Source organism: Homo sapiens, chromosome 4 (genome assembly GCF_000001405.40).
Source record: "Homo sapiens chromosome 4, GRCh38.p14 Primary Assembly".
Lineage (NCBI taxonomy): Eukaryota > Metazoa > Chordata > Mammalia > Primates > Hominidae > Homo > Homo sapiens.
In genome coordinates this window covers 100,784,839-100,802,771 of record NC_000004.12, presented here as the reverse complement: position 1 = coordinate 100,802,771, position 17,933 = coordinate 100,784,839, and the positions used below count along the sequence as shown (strand labels likewise).

Here is a 17,933-nt window from a genome sequence, read left to right as displayed (position 1 = left end):
CAAGCGGAAATTCTCCAGAACACTGTCTTTGAACTTCATCTGCAGCATTGGCTCTCCTGGGTCTCCAGTCTGCTGTCACACACTGCAGATTTGGACTTGCCAGCCCCCATAATCATGTGAGCCAATTGCTTTTAATAAATCTCTCTTATTATACACACACACACACACACACACACACACACACACCCTATTGATTCTTTTTCTCTGAAGAACCCCCTGATTAATACAACTGTCTTTTTTTTAAATAAACATACAGTAGAGTTGGTGTCCTTTGTGTATGTGTGTGTTTGTATAGCAGTATGAGTTTTAGCAAGTGTATGGATACAGAACAGTTCCAAGATACAGAATAGTTCCATTGCTCCAAAAATCCTTCTCAGGTTGCCCCTCAGGGAAGTCACACACTTAACTCCTGAGTCCTGGCAATGAGTGATCTATTTTCTTTAAGGTCAGTATAGGCCTTGTCTTTTTTAAGAATGCCATGTAACTTGGATCATACAGTATATAACTTTTTGACATTGTCTTCTTTTACTCAGGATTATGCCTTTGGGATTCAATTAAGTTGTGGCATGTATCAATAGTTTGTACCTTTTATTACTGAGTGATAATCCACTGTATGCCCAAAGTCTTTTTTATACAAGATATTTCTTCATGCATTGTCATATGTTGGGATTTTTAAAGTAAGAGATATCTTTTCTTTGATGCATTTTTTACTTTACATAACAGATATATTGAGTAAATTCTTTTGACATAAGTGTTATAAGAAAGGCTCAGCTAATTTGTAAAAATATACTTCTGCATTTTTACTTGCTTTTTAATTACTTAAATTTTTAATCACTACTTTAATTAAGGTTTTTTCTTTTTTTCTTTATCATCATAACAAATCTACTGTGTTATAAAATACCCTATCATTGATTCTTTTTTTATTATACTTTAAGTTCTAGGGTACATGTGCACAACGTGCAGGTTTGTTACATATGTATACATGTGCCATGTTAGTGTGATGCACCCATTAACTCGTCATTTACATTAAGGAAATACCCTATCATTGATTCTAATTCCAGTAGCCTCTTGGACTTCTACACTTACATTTTCTTATACCTCTGTTATATTACATCGATGCCTTCAGATATAGTCTTGCCTGTGCATTTACATGTTGAAATACATGTTTATTGTAACATTGAAACACATATTACCTCATCAATATATTTTATATCTCCTTTTTATAATAATTAGGATATTGTTTTAAATTTTTAGAAAGTTACACTTACTGGTGCATAACATGTATGAATTTCATTTCAACGTATAGATAACTAATTTTTCTAGATGTAGGGTATTAGGATAATTTTGAGAACTATTGCTTAAATCTTACACCCATAGCTACTTAAATATTTCTTGTTTTTCCTTCTCTAGAGACATTACAATCTACTAGTTCGGCTAGATGATCTCTCACTTAACTTTGTATTCAGAGAATTTAGAGTATCTACTTAAAAGTATGAATGTGGGCTTTTCATTCATGGTCTGTCAGTCAGCTGAGGCAGAGTAATGCTGCAACAATTAACAGCCCCTAAGTCTTCGTGGCTTTCAGTAACAAAAGTTTATGTCATGCTCTTATTACCTGACCATCATGGGTCAGCACAATGCCCCATCAGAGTGCTCTTCTGCAGGGAACCCAATCACATGGATGAAGGCCAGGAATATAATAGGTGTTTAGAGAGTATTGGCTACAGTGGTCAAAAGGAGGTAGAAATGGGAGCAAATATTTTCTTGAGAAATATTGCTGTGGGAACATGTGAAATCAGCTTTTAAGTTTAATATTTTTTTCAGCGTATCTAACAAATGTACTTGCTGATAATTTTATCATCTAACATTTAAAAATGTTATCATGCCTTATATTTGCATATTTCTGATAACTTCTCTTTCCTGGTATACCTACTCCACCAATCTCCCACACCTTACTCAAAATGTAAAAGTCCTACAAAGGACTTTGCCAGGAAAATGAATAATAATGGTGAGAACAATTGGCAATATTTGTTGAGTGTTTGCTCTGTACTAAATATTGTCCTAAGTACTTTATAGGCATTAACTAATTTAAACATCACAACAAATCTAAGAGCATAGTATTGTCATTTATCCTCAAATTTGTTAATTAAGAAACTGAAGCATAAAGAAAACAAAATGATTATTATTTTAGATGATGCATTTGGATATTTAGAAACCTAAAGCAACAAACTTAAAACTAATAGAATTAATGAAATAACAATGGTGTCAGGAAAATACCACAGTAGACAACAGTATTGAGAAAGATTTATCACCTTCCCTCCGTATAGGCTCTTTAAGAATCTATTAAACCAACCCCAACCTCATGACCTCAAACAACCAGGCCAGGGAAGCACACCTGGTCTAATGTCAAATAGAAAGCCTATTTTGAGAATCGAAGCCAAGAAACATGGAAACTATGTCAATTTGTGATTGGAGTGTGAGGACCATGTCAAGCCACTGGAACGACCTCAAACCAAATCCAACCACATGCCGGACAGTTTCATGACGAGTAGAAACTATGGGAAGGCAGAGAAAGCTGAATGTTAGAGAAAGAGAAGAGAGAATTGAACAGACATTTAGCCTGAGATATAATTAAAAGGAGCTCTCAATTAAACAATGTGGGTCAAAACATTCCGGGAAGAGTGGCAGCAATTGCAGAGGTTCTGAGGCAGAGCACACTTGGTAGGTTGAAGACACAGAAAGAAGGACAGAGAGGAGGAGCAGAGTGAATTCAGGGAACATGATTCTGTATGACGTCAGAGAGCTAGCAGCCAAACCCAGAGCAGTCTGGTGGGGCCCTGTGAGAGGCCTAGATTTCCTTCATTGGGAAGCCCAGCCCAGCTCAGTTCTGTCTCCCTTTGAAGCTGTTCCCACTGGCTTTGTTGAATGAAATCTCACCTTCTTTGAAACTTTCATAGTATATACCTCTAGCAATTGGCATACAAAGTCTGAATCACAGATTTTTTTTTAAGTGCTTTATTTTCCCGAGGATGTTAGGTCTTAGAAATCAGGAGTCATGACTCCTTGTACCCTCTACAGACAGTAGTGAGTTGGTATTAACTTGGTACTCAGTAAATATTTGTTGGCTCAAAAAGGGGATAAAAAAAAAAACAACATTGAAAAGTATCTGGTAATCTGTACCAATCTACTTTGTAAGTTAGTTGAAGAAAGAAGATAAGGGGATATAATTACAAATAAAGAGAACTTTTTAAAAATAAAAAAAAAAAGGGGATAATTATCAAGTATTCCTAGTCAGTGTCCAAATTTCCTTACTGCAATCTCTCCATGAACGTTTTAAACCCATGTTATGTGGCACAAAATTGTTAACTGAGGCTTCCCTTTATCAAGTTGGCTTCTCAGTGAACCTCATGACTGTGGATTAATAAATCTTTTGTTATGGGATTGTATATTTGAGAGGCTGGAAAATGGGGAGTACCATATTGTAAATCCAGGCAAACAGGGGTTGTGCTTAATGGTTTATACACAGTTCTTGTTAAATCTTCAAACAACCCTAAGAAGCCACAACTACTATGTGGGAAAATCAGTCACCCAGTCAGGCTGGTTGAACCCTGAGCCCATGTGCTTCACCACCAGGCTAAAGTTGCTCAGTTTGCCCTGATGAAAGAAGGTGATTTTCCTTTTCTTTTGTCCTCGGGCCTACTTACACATCCAGCACCTTCACTCTGGTGCAGGCTATACTTTACAGATGGGTGAGATTCTGATTTTACTCTAATATTTATAAAGCCAAATGATTCAAACTGTAAAAAATGAAACTAAACAGCAGTCTTGCTTTTCTTGTAGCACCTTCCTGTTCTGCATTTTTTTTTCTGATATTGACTAAGAAAGTTTAATACAGTCAGCTGTGCTTAGTGCTTACAATTGAACTACATATCAGCAAACCAAACTGTTTCATGAGACCGTATTTACAAGAAAAGACATGGAGAATTGTGTATATTTTTCTACTTCAGAAGAAAAATGTTCCATAAGATCTTCTGAAATCTTTGACAATGGCCCTTATTTGGTTTTTGTGTATATCTGAGGTTCACATTAAATATTTGAATGTTTGATAGTAACTGGATTGATGATGATTAAATTGTTATCCAAATGGGTAGATCATAATGTGCAAACTTATTTTTTGTCTTTGAAAATGGTAAGCAGGGCCAGGTGCGGTGGCTCACACCTGTAATCCCAGCACTTTGGGGGGCTGAGATGGGTGGATCACCTGAGGTCAGGAGTTTGAGACCAGCCTGGCCAACATGGTGAAACCTCATCTCTACTAAAAATGGAAAAATTACCCGGGTGTGGTGACACATGCCTGTAATCCCAGCAGCTGCTTAGGAGGCTGAGGCATGAGAATCGCTTGAACACGGGAGGTGGAGGTTGTAGTGAGCCGAGATTGTGCCACTGCACTCCAGGCTGGGTGACAGAATGAGGCTCCATCTCAAAAAAAAAAAAAAAAAAAAAAAAAAGCGAGAGACAGAAAAGAAAATGGTAAGCAGGATTTGCAAGAATACTCTAGGCATAAAGTAACAGTTCATTTTATGAATAAGAACAATATGTCAACCAAGAATGTATTTTACAAGCTTCCCCAAGTTAGGAACAACCCCACCAGATTGCATATATTATTTAACTATGATTTCTTATCTATGATTACGTTATCTAACTTAACTATGATTTCCAATGGAAGTTGTGGTTTGGCCATCTTTCCTTCAGCCTAGGAGAACCTTCAGGGCATTATGTTCTTGGCCCAGGGCTTGTCTCTGTGGCTGTTGTTGGCTGTAGATGGTCCTTGGGAAAGTTTTAAGTCTGTGCTTCTCATGTAGGCTTACCCACACTATAATAGTTATGTGAAGCCAGAGGCTGAAAACATCAGTTTTGGCCAATAAAAGGTAAATAAAAGAATCATTTTTATGTTATAATATGCATTAATATATGATGAAATAGACAGCAAAAGTGGTACCAATTTTGAAATATAAATATTAGTGCAAAAGTAATTATGTTTTTGCCATTACTTTTAATGGCAAATATAACAACATGATACAACAAAGGGTTTCCAACAAAAGTCACATTTAGAATGCCTAGGGTCAGGTTTCAATTACCTCTGCCATTTATGAAGCAATTGACCTTACTCTTTAAGACCCAGCATTAACCAGACTTCCATGGTTTGAATCCTAGCTTTGTTCCTTCCTGACTGTGTGGCCAGAGGTCACGCTAGTTATGCTTGCCCCCTAAGCTTGTTATGGGGATTATGTGAATTAATATTTGTAAAGTGCTGAGAGCTCTTCTGGCATATAGTAAGTGCTATATAAGTGTTTGCTAAATAAATTAAATTAACTTAAATTGGGACCACAGTAGTAAATTTTGAGAAAATATAATTTCTGCCACCATGGGAGTACTGACTCTAAGAATAGCAGAAAGATGCCCAAGACCCTGTTTTGGCTGCTCCTGTTTTGCTTTCCTTTCTCTCCCTCACCTGGGGAACTTATCTGTAACTATGTTTATACCATCACCCTCACCAAGCACTTGAACCCATCTTTTGATTTCAAATTCTTTGTTCTTTCAATTGTCCTATATATTCCAAAAGATATAAATGTGTCTCAGTTTGCTTCTCAAACTTTCATGTATCTATAAATCACCTAGGGATGTTCTAAAATATAGTTTCTGATTCCGTAAATCTGGACTAAGACTTCACATTCCGCATTTCCAACAAGCTGTCAGGTAATGCTCTTGCTGCTGGTTCCAGGGCCACACTTGAGTAGCAATGCCCTAGTATATCTCACCATCTTTACATATATGTGTGTATATATATGTATGTGTATATATATACACATACATACATATAGCTGGCACCAATTTAAATATGTGCTTCTACTTTGAGCTCCAGGCCCTTATAAGTCATCACACATTATTGTGGCTCTCTACTCTTTAATGTCTCATGAGTATGAGGAAATTAGCCAGAACATAACAGTGACATTTTACATGCCCACTCATCTGCTCCTTTTCTGGTACACACTGCTGGGAGGTGAGCAGAGAGTTTCTAAAACCTTGTCCCCAAGTCGATATGCTCCATGAAAATTTGGCCATAGCATCTTCAGAGAATTTGTGCTCCAGAGTTACAGGCAGAGAACCTTTCCTGGACCCAGCAGCAGATGGCAGTCCTGTGGGTGGTGCCCCTGAGGGGTGGGAAAAGTATGATTCTCTGACAGCCACATAGAGGCTTTGCCAACCTGAAGCAGGGCTGTCAGCAGAAGTAGAGATGGGTTGGGCTCAAGAGGAGAGATAGAGCAGGAACTCCTTCCATGTGCTGCGCCAGCAGTTTTGGGCTCTGCCCTGGGCTGAGTTATTAACACAATCCAAGGAGAAATGTATATAGAGATTTTCCCAGTGGGATACTCACAGGAACACTTTTTCCAACCTCTCCACCCCCTTCCAGAGTTCTGTGAGAACACATCAACAATGCTATGAGGTTAATGAACCCATAAAATCATCATTAGTTTTTCAGCTTTTAAAATTATGTGCAGTAATTGGCTCTTTGGATGTTTGTCAAGGGACCAGTTGCCAAAAACTTCTTCCCAGGAAAAATTTGAAATCTCACCTTCAAAATAATAGTTGTCCTTCAATACCTTAAAAATGTGAATATTGCAGGGTAACATTACAATATACCCCTTTGTAAGAAAAGTAGATGTATAAAAATAGAATACAGATTCAAAAAACATATATCAGGAGATTACGTACCTTCTATGCACTGGGAAAACTATACTGAACCTAATATAACATTTTCCTCCTTTGGGGGGCTTCCTGGGCCTGTCCAGAATAGCTGAACTTAGTGTATACTGTCAGGCTATACAGGTAGGCCCCCCAGGCTAACAGGCAACTATGTCCAGCAAGTGCCATCTGCTGTTCTTGGCAGTGACCAAGCCTGCAGGTTGAAGTCCTTCTGCAAAACCTCGTCTCCCAGGGCTCATCAGCAGGGAGTTGGCACAGGTGGCTCTGTCAAAATGTGTTTTCCTGTGCCCTGTGTTCTGAACAAGTTCTGGGAAAATTTAATTCACACATTACCATTTTTTGACCACTCTCTCTGATTATTGTTATGGCTTTAAAATAATCTCAAATGTCATCCAAAGTGCAAGAGGTCATGCCCAAAAGAGGCCAGAGAAAGTCACAAACAAAAACTCCTCTGCCACATTGTAAGACTAGCTTAGGAGTTAAGGTTTTCTCATTCCTGCATTCTTTTCTTGGGTCCATATTCTCTCCCCTTTAGCTCTCTTCACTCTAACCCTTTCCCCTTTGAACATGATACTCCTCCACTACATAACCCACCTAACCACTGAATCATTCACCAGTGGGACAGCTTTTCATTGAACTCCTCAGGGCCTTAGGTTTGGTGTTTATAAAATGGGCATAATATAATAATCTTGCAGGATGATGTCAGTGAAACCATTTTGAAAATAAATGTTCATATATTAACTTCTTCTACAATTATTTGATTAGGAAACAGAAAACAGAAAAGCTCTCCTAAGAACTCTAGTGATTCTGAAAATTTCTAAGAGAAGTTGGGGGTCTCTAAAATGCTGTAGCTACCAACATCCTTTCATTGGATTACAAATATTCTGGAATAATTATATTTTCTTTGATTTGCTCTTTTCCTACTTCCCTGCTTTTCTGCCTGACTTTTCTCTTTTATATCTCTCTTCTCCTCTATTCTCCATTTTTCCTGTTTCTCTCCTCAATCTCCTGCTTCTCTTTCTCTACAGGAAAAAAAAAAAAAAGAAAAGAAAAAGAAAAAAAAAACACAGGGAAGATCTTGCTTGGTTTGGATCACTATTTCTCAATGGATGAATGAGTTAAGTGTAAACTGAGATCATCTAAAACAATAATACCCCTACTACGGTGGTCCTTAGTGCAGCTTGCCATGTATTTCTGGTGCTCTGCATTCTGGGGATATGGTAGAATTGCACTTCCTAGGCCACTGTAGTTGGCTGTGTGACTAGTTCTGAACAGCTGTGAGCAGATGAGATGTATGCTACTTCTGGGCAGGAACATCTGATTGCTTATATGAAACCCTCCAGAACTATACCTCCCTGGGACAGCAGCTAGAAATGTTTGAGATGATACCTGTTTTATCAGCCTGGCCCATGATTAATTACAAAAAACAGAGGTCTTAAGAGACATGTAAGAAACGTAGATCATGAGTGAGAAATAAACTTCAGTTACTTTAGGAGACTGAGATTTTAAGAATTAGTTTTTACCACGGTAGAAGTTAGCATGATTCAACTGACGCATTTACTAAACTGTGAGCTTCTCTAGGGAAGAGAAGAAAGGAAAGAAAGCTGTTACTTCTATTTCTGTGAGGCACTTTCATAACAACAAATTGTTATGAATAACAAAATGTTATTCTTCATTGTTGACCCAAAGGATTCACGCTATAGCTTTCAATAGTTTTTTTTTTATTGCTTTGTAGTATAATACAGCCTTTAACATCTTTTAACATAATGCTTTTTAACACAGAGGTAACTAAGATAATGAGCAATACTTTCAAGTTGAAGACCTAGGTCAGTAAACATAAACTCTCATGGTAACAATCTAAATCTCAACAGAGAATTTGAAGGGAAATGGTCACCATTTTATTTACCTACTGTATTCATTTTTCAAATATTTATTGAGCACCTACTTGGTCAGGTATTATGTTATGTACTGGAAAAATAGTAACCAACTTAGAGAAGTACTTTACTGTACTTGGAGCAGTTTTCCATATATTACCTAATTTTACCTCATAATAACAGAATGTTTGCTCTATTTCAAAGATAAGGAAGCCGAGACACAAGGAATTGAGTAACTTGTCGAGCTCACTCAGGTAGGTGGTAAAAAACCTGGGACAAAACCCCTATTGTCACACTAAAGTCTGTGTTAAGTATTTCACAGTTACAAGAAAGGACCACTGGGGCAAAGTAGAAAATGGGAATGTGATTATAAAATGTATCATTATTTGCATGCTAGTAAAAAGGAATTTTTGATGGTGAGTACATGGAAGACTTATTTTGTGGACCCCTGAAATTGTAGACAACCCATAAAAGTCCCTGAGAGTAGTCAATGACCAAAAAACATTAAGAGCAACTGTTCCACAATTATATAGCATAGCAAAGAGATACCAGAATTCTATTTTTTGACATTATATTTTCCATGAATTCCAGCACTGATAAAGAAATAGTATTACATTTTCTTTATTTACTTGTACTTATAAAATTAAATAGATAAAAATAATGTGAAAGGCAAGACAAAAATTTTATTTGAAATTTTTTCAATATTTTATTGATGGCAGTCCTTGAGAAGGGGTTCTTGAGTCAATTTTCTCTTTCATAGAATTACTGAATAGTGGAGATGGAAAAGAACATAAAAATTAATCTCTTTAGATAAACTTATTTTAATGCTTCAAATAAATTTTGTTTAGGATGTGTACACTGATACCCAGAGAAAGAAGCTATTGAGTCAGCGATGGGCCTGGGGCTGGAACTCAGGCCTTCAGACTTGCTCTCATCACGTTTGAGTCCATTTGAAGAAGAATACTTCCTCCACCCTTTAATTTTTATTCAAATGGCACATGAATAAATTTTAAAACATTTTATTACACTTGTATGAAATTAGAATATGTGATAATTTAGGTATCTGAGCCATTTAAAAAAGTGTTATATTTGGAGTAAAGAAATAAGAATGCTGAAATGTAACATTAGCACAACAAAAATTACACAACAAAACCCTTTGCTCTGTGTCTTAAGTTGCCATCTATCTACTTAATATACAGATCAAAGTCCTTCTCTGTACATATCAATACATAAAAATTAATTTACACATAAAATTTGCATTGGAATGTGATTGACATACTTAAGTTTATTCTCCCTTTTTACAAGCCAACAACACAGGAACTTATCTGGCACTGTGGAATAATGAGAGCCAAGCCAAGAGTCAGAAGACCTGAAATTCATATCTATTTCAACTCATTTAGTTGCTGGTTGTGAGACCTTGGGTGAGTCACTTTACTTCTCAGAAACTTGGTTCCCTTGTTTTTAAAATGAGGCTACTGCACTCCAGTCTCTAAGATGCCTCCAAGTTCTAACACTCTCTGATGGCCTATCAGTTAAGCTCCTGGCAGGGTACAGAATTTTATTTAGATGGTTCAAATAAAGAGGCTGCAATGAGGGGACTACTTTCAGAATTTTGAGCAAACAAATGATGATGAGGTGCTCAGGAACTAGCATAGTGGGAGGCTTTTGCCAACCCTAGATTTGAAGGAGGAGGTGAGGAAACAGAGTCATTAGATCCCCAGGAGTGCTGAGATTCTGGCAGAGGCTTCACCAGGCGGGCTCTAGTCAGAGACGTGTATGGAGGGATGGAACTACTGCCAGAGGTACAGCCTCAAAACAGGGAGGAGTCAGGGAAGAAATATTCTGGCCTCTCTCTTCTCCTGTCTTCCAGTACCCTTTCACTGCCAAACACAACCAGTTCTCTCCCCTTCCCATGGAGTTTATACAACAATTTTACATACCTCTTTCATACCACTTTGTTCATAATTCAGGCACCATTTCTAAAAACCACCATAAAACCAGCATATTAAAAAATCATTCCCCTTCAAAGGAAAAGAAATGAAAGACATTATTGAAATTTAGGTACCGTAATGTGCCAATATAATGACACATTGGTCAATGATGACCATTACACATGGTGGTCCTATAAGATTACAATACTATATTTTTACTGTACCTTGTATTTAGAAACACAAATACTTGTCATTGTTTACAGTCACCTACAGTATTCAGTACAGTAACATTCTGTACAGGTTTCTAGCCTAGGAGCAATAGGCTATACCATATAGCTTAGGTGTGTTACCGTAGGCTATACCATCTAGGTTTGTGTAAGTACAGACTACAATGTACTAATAACACTTAATGATGCATTCTCAGAATGAATCCACATCATTAAGTGACACATGACTGTAATTGTAAAAACAGCAGAGGTGGGTACAGTTTATTCTAATCAGGTTATGAGTTTGTCAGATTTCACATGTAATCTGGAACTGGAATGTAGCTGTGTCAAATGTTGGATTGTGTGTTTTGTGCACACCAATAGGTGACATGCATAAACACTGTGCAGCACAGCACTCATCTGCTTGGGATCCCTTCTACTGAAAGGTCCCTGCAGGGAGCATCCCTGGTGACAACAGACAGGTTTTGCAGAGAATTGCATTTATTTCTTCCTTTGATTCAACTCCCTGCAGAGGTTTTTCCAGAACACAATGTCACTATTTCCAGGTCAGACAAGATTCTCCTGCCAAGCAGGGTGCCATGAAGAAAATCTAGCTTACAGTGTGAGCCAAAAGAAATCAAAGTGGAAACAGAAATGTCAGAGGACTAGAGAGTAAATGACAGGAGTCTCCACAGTCATCATTAGCATCAACGTTTCACATGCAGTGGCTTTATTCAAGCCCACGCAAGATACAGGAGTCATTGTCAGTAACGTGAGGACTAAAACAGAGCAAATGTCACCTTGTCCCTGCATCAGCTCCAGAAAGGTACACACAGTGGGAATTACTCCTTTGTTGCATGCTTTTGGAGGGGGCAGAGGGACTATTACTGAGCTGCGGAGACAGAAATGGAATTTGTACTTTCACAGGGTAAAGGGTGGGTCTCTGCCTGTAATAGGCACCTTGAAGTCGGCCTTTAGAACCAGGAAATTGAGTCTATCTCTGATATGCCTCAGAGGTGAAAGGCATACAACTTTTCATATGTAAATCTAATGATTTGACTTGTGCTTCACAGATACCACGTAGCTCAGGCTCGGGGCTTCTAATTCTCAGGAGAACTAGCGGTGTTTGCGGCCTCCACAGTCAGTATGCTAGATATACTTGTTTCTGTTCTTACACAGCACGACCATTGTCCTTTGAGGGAGGAAGGAAGAATGACATGCTTTGTGTTTATGTTTTTAAAATAGCTTCTGCGTTTTTGAAAAATTCTACTTTGAAATGCGTACTGAATTATTTAAATATTTTTTTCCCTACTTACCTCTCTGAGCAATTGTCAATAGCTGACTGCCCTGGAGGTGGACCGTTCCATCAAAGAACAGTTGGGAAAATATGTAAATTTGTAGTTTTAAATGAGGATACTCTAATTTCAACTGTGAGACGAATAAGCAGGCAGTCATACAGCTCAGCATCTACCTGAAAAGTGCAAAATTATATTCTAGAATGTTCTCTATTTCTGTTGCTTTAGTCTTCTCCCTCGACTTCCCCATCCTGCCCCACATGTTTTCTTCAACTCTTTCTCCCCAGGATGGCTTCTGCTTTATCCTTTGCTCTGAATGCTTTCTCCAATCTTCCCCTCATCTAAATATTACTCATGTGAAGACCCAGTTCAAGCCCCTTCACATTCATAAAAATTTTCCTGACCACTGCAAACCATTGAATGTCTGAATTCTGTTTTGACTTTTAGTAGTACTAACATATTCTCTAATAATTTCAGGTGCTATTACATTATTTCCCTAAGCAGATGGCAAGCTGCATGATGCCTAGGGATGTGACTATATTATTTTTGTATTTACTGTAAGAAGTAGCCCAGTGCAAGGCATAGTAAGTGATGTTAATTACTCACTAGTTATTTTCCTTTCCTATAATATTTTCTTTTCAGAATTTTCAGATGGTTCCAGATTATTTCTTCACAGTATCATCATATTCTTTATCTACATCTTCCTCTAATAATTAACACTTTTATAAACCTGGGTCCTGTCTTTGCAAGAGCAATAGATGGATGAGTATATCTAATGGAGAAGTAGATTTTCTCTCTAGCCCCTCTGTGTGAGTGTGCAAGTGTGTGTGTGTGTGTCTTTGTGTTTGAGCAGGCTATGGGAAGGGCAAGAGAAATGGAAAGATTACATGACTGGCTGTTATTTGGATGACAGTAAGATCACTGCTCAGAAAAGAAAGAGTTAAACTTTTGACAGTTCTCCATTAGCCGATAGTGTAATTATCAATTGACTAAAACTGCTTTTTTTTTTTTCTATCAAGGAAGAAAAGCCAAGTTTGGATTAAAAAATGGGGACAATTTTCTACGTGTAATATTTTTCAGTTTTGGAACAGAATCTAATAAATGAAGCAGTGGAAATAAATTAGAAAATGGTAAATGAAAAGGTATACCACTTGACAGTCAGTCTTGTCTTGTCCACATGTTATAACTATGGAAACTGTACAAGCTCCCTGAGGACATGGAAGGGCAGCTTGGATATTTTAAAGATTAGATTATTTATAAAAAATACATTGTGACATTTGGGTTTAATGAATATAATACGCTAGTCATAAATACTTGGTGAAAGAGTTAGGTTAATTTTGGAACCTACAGGGATAATTTTGTTTAGGTCATAAAAGCCAGCATTGGATCCTAGTTGTGTATTGAGTGGATTAAGGAAATTACAGAATCTGAAAAGGCTGTGTTTTCTCTGACCCTGTGAATACTCCCATTTTATATGACAAAATGTCTTGTCCTGGAATGTGGCTGTTGAAATCAGTTACCTGACCCATATAAGAAAATATGTTTTCCTGTATCTGAATCTGTTCTCTAGCTATTTTCACCTATACACAAACGTATCTGCATGTTTGTCTATGTGTATGTGTGTGTGTGTGTGTGTGTGTGTGTGTGTGTGTGTGTGTGTAGATGTACAGTTTTTTCTTGGTATCTTGAAACAAAGTTTGGAATATTTTGAAAATGCCGTAATTAGTTGTTCATAATTTGATTTCTAGGTTGTTGAGAGTCTTTCTTTCTAGGCTGAAGGATAACATTTTAGACCCACAGAGAAGAATATCTGGTCAGATATGTTTATGTCACCAAGATGAACAGAAATGCCATTAGTCTCTGTGGTGTGATTTGCTAATTAGGAAAAGGCACCCCCTCCGTGTAGGTATAGCCCTGTGGGCCACAGCTTGGCTCCTGGGCAGGGGTGGATTTCAGCCCCCACTCCCCCCTCGCAGCCTGGCATCATTGCACAATTCATGTACTTTACAAGGGTATGTGGGAGCTCTAAATATTAAGGTGTGAAATGGCTAGCAGCACTGGAATAAGTCTACAGGAGGTTTTGCTTGAATATTAAATATAGAGGCCATGATTATTGATTACTTAATGGCCAGTCCTAGATATTTAAACCACCCTGGAGATCTGGAGATGGGGAGGAGATGGGTGAAGATGTTCTCAACCTTTTTAGCCAGACTCTCTTCTATTATGTTGCACTCATAGGGCTTATGTTTTGAGATAATTGGTCTAACTAAATAAAGTTAATTATTTAATAACTGTTTGTTTGCATATATTGATCTCTTAACCAAATAGACATAACTGCCAACTTTTGAGAGCTTTTGAGCAATATATATGAATATTTTCATATTGGGTTCATGTGATTTTTAGGCCAGACAAAATAATTCTTTTACTAAAAAAGAATTTTTTATTAAAAAATTTTTATTTAATCCATGTGTCTATGGCCCAAGTAAATGTATGATTTTCACATGGTGTTTTGCTTTTGATATTTATTTATATATCCTAAAGTTCAGAAATTTTACATTAGAAATAAGTAAACAGGTCCACAAAGGACCTATTGCTCTTAAACGTATTCTATTCTCATTATTGATAATCCTGAGTGACAATGTAGGCAACATTAAACAAGCAAAATATGGTGATTGGGTCACTAAGAAGTGAAGATCTCTCTAACTCTTTAATCTTCCAATGTGTAAATATTTGATAAAAACCTGCCCTTTTGTTTAACTTTAATTTTTCTTTTGAGGAGAGAAAGCATTTTAACTACATACCAAAGAATAGACAGATGCAAACAAACCTTGACTGCTACTTGCCCGATAAAGGAAAAAACTGGTCGTCTGGTCTGTTTATTGTTTTGTAAATTGAAAGATATATAAAATAATGGTTCCAACATGTTCTAGTAAAGTCATCAGGATCTTAAATGAGTTGGTGAGACTTAAAGGGAGAAAAATAAATCCCTAAGGAACATTTTTAGAGGCATGAAATATTATGATTGTAAGAGTAATGTTTTTATTTATATGAATACATTTAAACAAATATATGTAACCCTAGTGTGTGCATATATGTATATATTTATGAGTGTGTATGCTTGTATATATGTATATTCTAGAAATATACGTATTCATTTTAGAAAAAAATATAGATATGGTGGTGCTGAGTCATTGTTTTAAATAGAAAGCAAAGACCTGGTTTTTAATAACAGGCTTCAGTAATTGGTCATATTTTTGTCCATTCTATTTTGGACAGGTAATATAGCAACATTTGAAGCAGAAGCTATCAGTACTCCAGCAATTCTCCTCAGATTCTTCTGACTCTTTCTGTGTGCCCATCCTCTGGCTTCAACATGCTTGGCTCCTAGAGACTGGCATCTCTAAGTCTCTTTGAAGGACTGCCCTTGGGCCACTGGCACCATGGTGCCTGCAATGCACAGCCAGCCAGCATCCATGGTGGTAACATGCCCTCAAGGATAGCCCTCACCAAGGACAGACAGGCACAGATTATAAAATCTCAGCAACCTTGCCCCAAGGAGGAACAAATCTGAGGTTTAATTTAGGTTCCAGGGCTCCCCATCAGGATGAACCTGAGGTTGAAAGTTTACCTGAAATTATACCCTTGCTAGTCTTCTCCTTCCTTCCTTGCTTCCCTCATCTATTCACAGGCATCTCCTATACTGTACTGTACTGACTCCAACTGTACTGAATCACTTGCACACAAACTCTTGTCTTATTGTCTTCTTCTGGGAAACCTAAAATCATATCTAGCTGTCACTGTGGTAAAAATTTCATAGGCACAAAGAAGTTTATTATGTCTTGGATGCCCTGCTAATTTTAACATGTTGCAATGAAGTTACTCCCTCCCTACCCCCTCAGCAATGACTGGGAATCATGGCTAATGTCTGGTAAAGCATAAATCAAGCCAACTTTTTCCCCTGCTAGAACCACAGGAAATGGTGGTATTGTTTTTGATTATACACTTCCCAGTACATCAGGGAGAAGATTAATCCTCAGAGGCTTAAATGACCAGAATTATGAATTGAGGTAATTCTAGGCATAGGAGATCAAAAGAAATAGCCATGGACCTTATGTTTCCTGTGAGAAGAAAGCAAGAGAGCTGGCAGATGCATGGCAAGTTTGAGACTTGATTTATTCCTGAAAGCAACTGACCGGAGGTAACATTTGGCTCTAGCCCTGGCTCAGCTCCTTACTGTGGATTCCTGAGCAAGCTAGTTCTCCTAGACCTTAGTTCACTCACCTGAGTACTTGCACTGAATGATACATAAACTTCCTTCTGGATTTTAGTTTTGTGATTCTGTTTGCACAATCATAAAACAGCCAACAGAAAAGCCATACGTGAAGCTTCAGAAGCTGGAAAGTTTAAGCACATATCAGTTACTCGTGAGTTATACTTTTCTGTGTCTGAGAGCATATGAGGAGCTTTGCTTGAGTAGCAGCAAAGGAGCTTGTTAAGAATTCAGAAGCATAGGAGTAGTAGAGTATTAAATGGCTAAGAAAAAGACACCAGCTATCTCACTGGTGACACAAAGCAGAATTTCACAACTTAATCTCATTCCCACCAGGAGTCTATTACACATTCAAGACCTTGAAAGACTACAAAGTCAAGAATGGAAGGAACAGATTAAAGGTGGAATATTACTTTCAGAAGGAAAGGGAAAGAAACAAAACGAACAAAATGCAGATACTGTTTAATTTTAGTGAAAACTCTTTCTTAAGCCAAAGGAGTCTTACTTTTCTCAGCCCACAATATCTGTGGGAATGTCGATGGAATTTTCTGTTTCCTCATCTTTAGTTTGTGAGAGGCATGTGCCTGCCCCATTGCAGCTCTTAAGAACGCACCTTCATACTACTTGTCAATTCCACAAATCCTGAAATGCATTATATGATTGGGCTGGACCCATCAAAATGTTGAATATATCTTTGAAGTGCCAATGACAGTGCTAACTCAAGTCACTACAAGTGTTCAGCAAAGGCCTTGTAAAACAATTACTCAAAACACCCTTATCCCTGCCCTTTGACCGCATTCTTATGGCTTTTGGAATGGGGACTAACTACATCAAGTCATTCTGCAGAACAAACTTGTAGAAGAAGTGTGAATAATTTTTTTCATATTATTAAGATATTTATAATCAGAAGTATTTACCCAAAACCGTAAACCATTCATATATTCCAAAGATGTTACGTGACTTTTCTGAAATTAGGACATTAGAAGTATATGGAAATTTAAATTTGTTTTTGTATCAATTTGCTTTTTAAAATAAATACATTTACATGATACAAAATTTTAAAAGCATAAAATGAAATTTTCCCTCCTGCCCCTGTTCACCCAGTATTCCTCTGTGGAGATAACCAATGTTATCAGTTTATTAGTTTCTTTCGGAGATATTTTATATAAGCAAATAGTCTTGTGGGTGTGCATTTGTATGTTTTACATACTGTTAAATACCTTCCTTTTCTCACATAATATACATTAGGAATTATTCTATATTGGTACTGAAAACCTCTTCTCATTTTAAATACAGCATTTCAACACTTCATGCTCTCTATCTCTCTTACCTGCTTAAAAGAAAAACCAGAACTAACTACCATTTTTTATTTGTTTATTGTCTCTGACCCCCAACTAGAATGTTAATTACATGAGAGTAAATATTTTCAACTGTTTTTTTCACTGCACTCATTATTAACGCCCAGTACAGTGCCTGGCATATAATAATTACACAATAAATATTTGAATTTATTCAATAAATGAATATGTTAGACTTGATAACTAATTTTATTCTATTGCATATAATTAATTAAATGTGTTAAGTCACTGTTC

The 17,933-nt window shown here is 37.2% G+C and overlaps 1 long non-coding RNA gene across 1 annotated transcript; it reads left to right on the top strand.

Annotated features, from left to right (window-relative positions):
• Nucleotides 1–11,345: 11,345 nt before the first annotated feature.
• Nucleotides 11,346–17,541, top strand: LINC01217 (long intergenic non-protein coding RNA 1217). Its single transcript, NR_046812.1, has 3 exons — nt 11,346–11,602; nt 13,091–13,201; nt 15,348–17,541. It is a non-coding gene; the product is annotated as a long intergenic non-protein coding RNA 1217 (long non-coding RNA).
• Nucleotides 17,542–17,933: the final 392 nt, after the last annotated feature.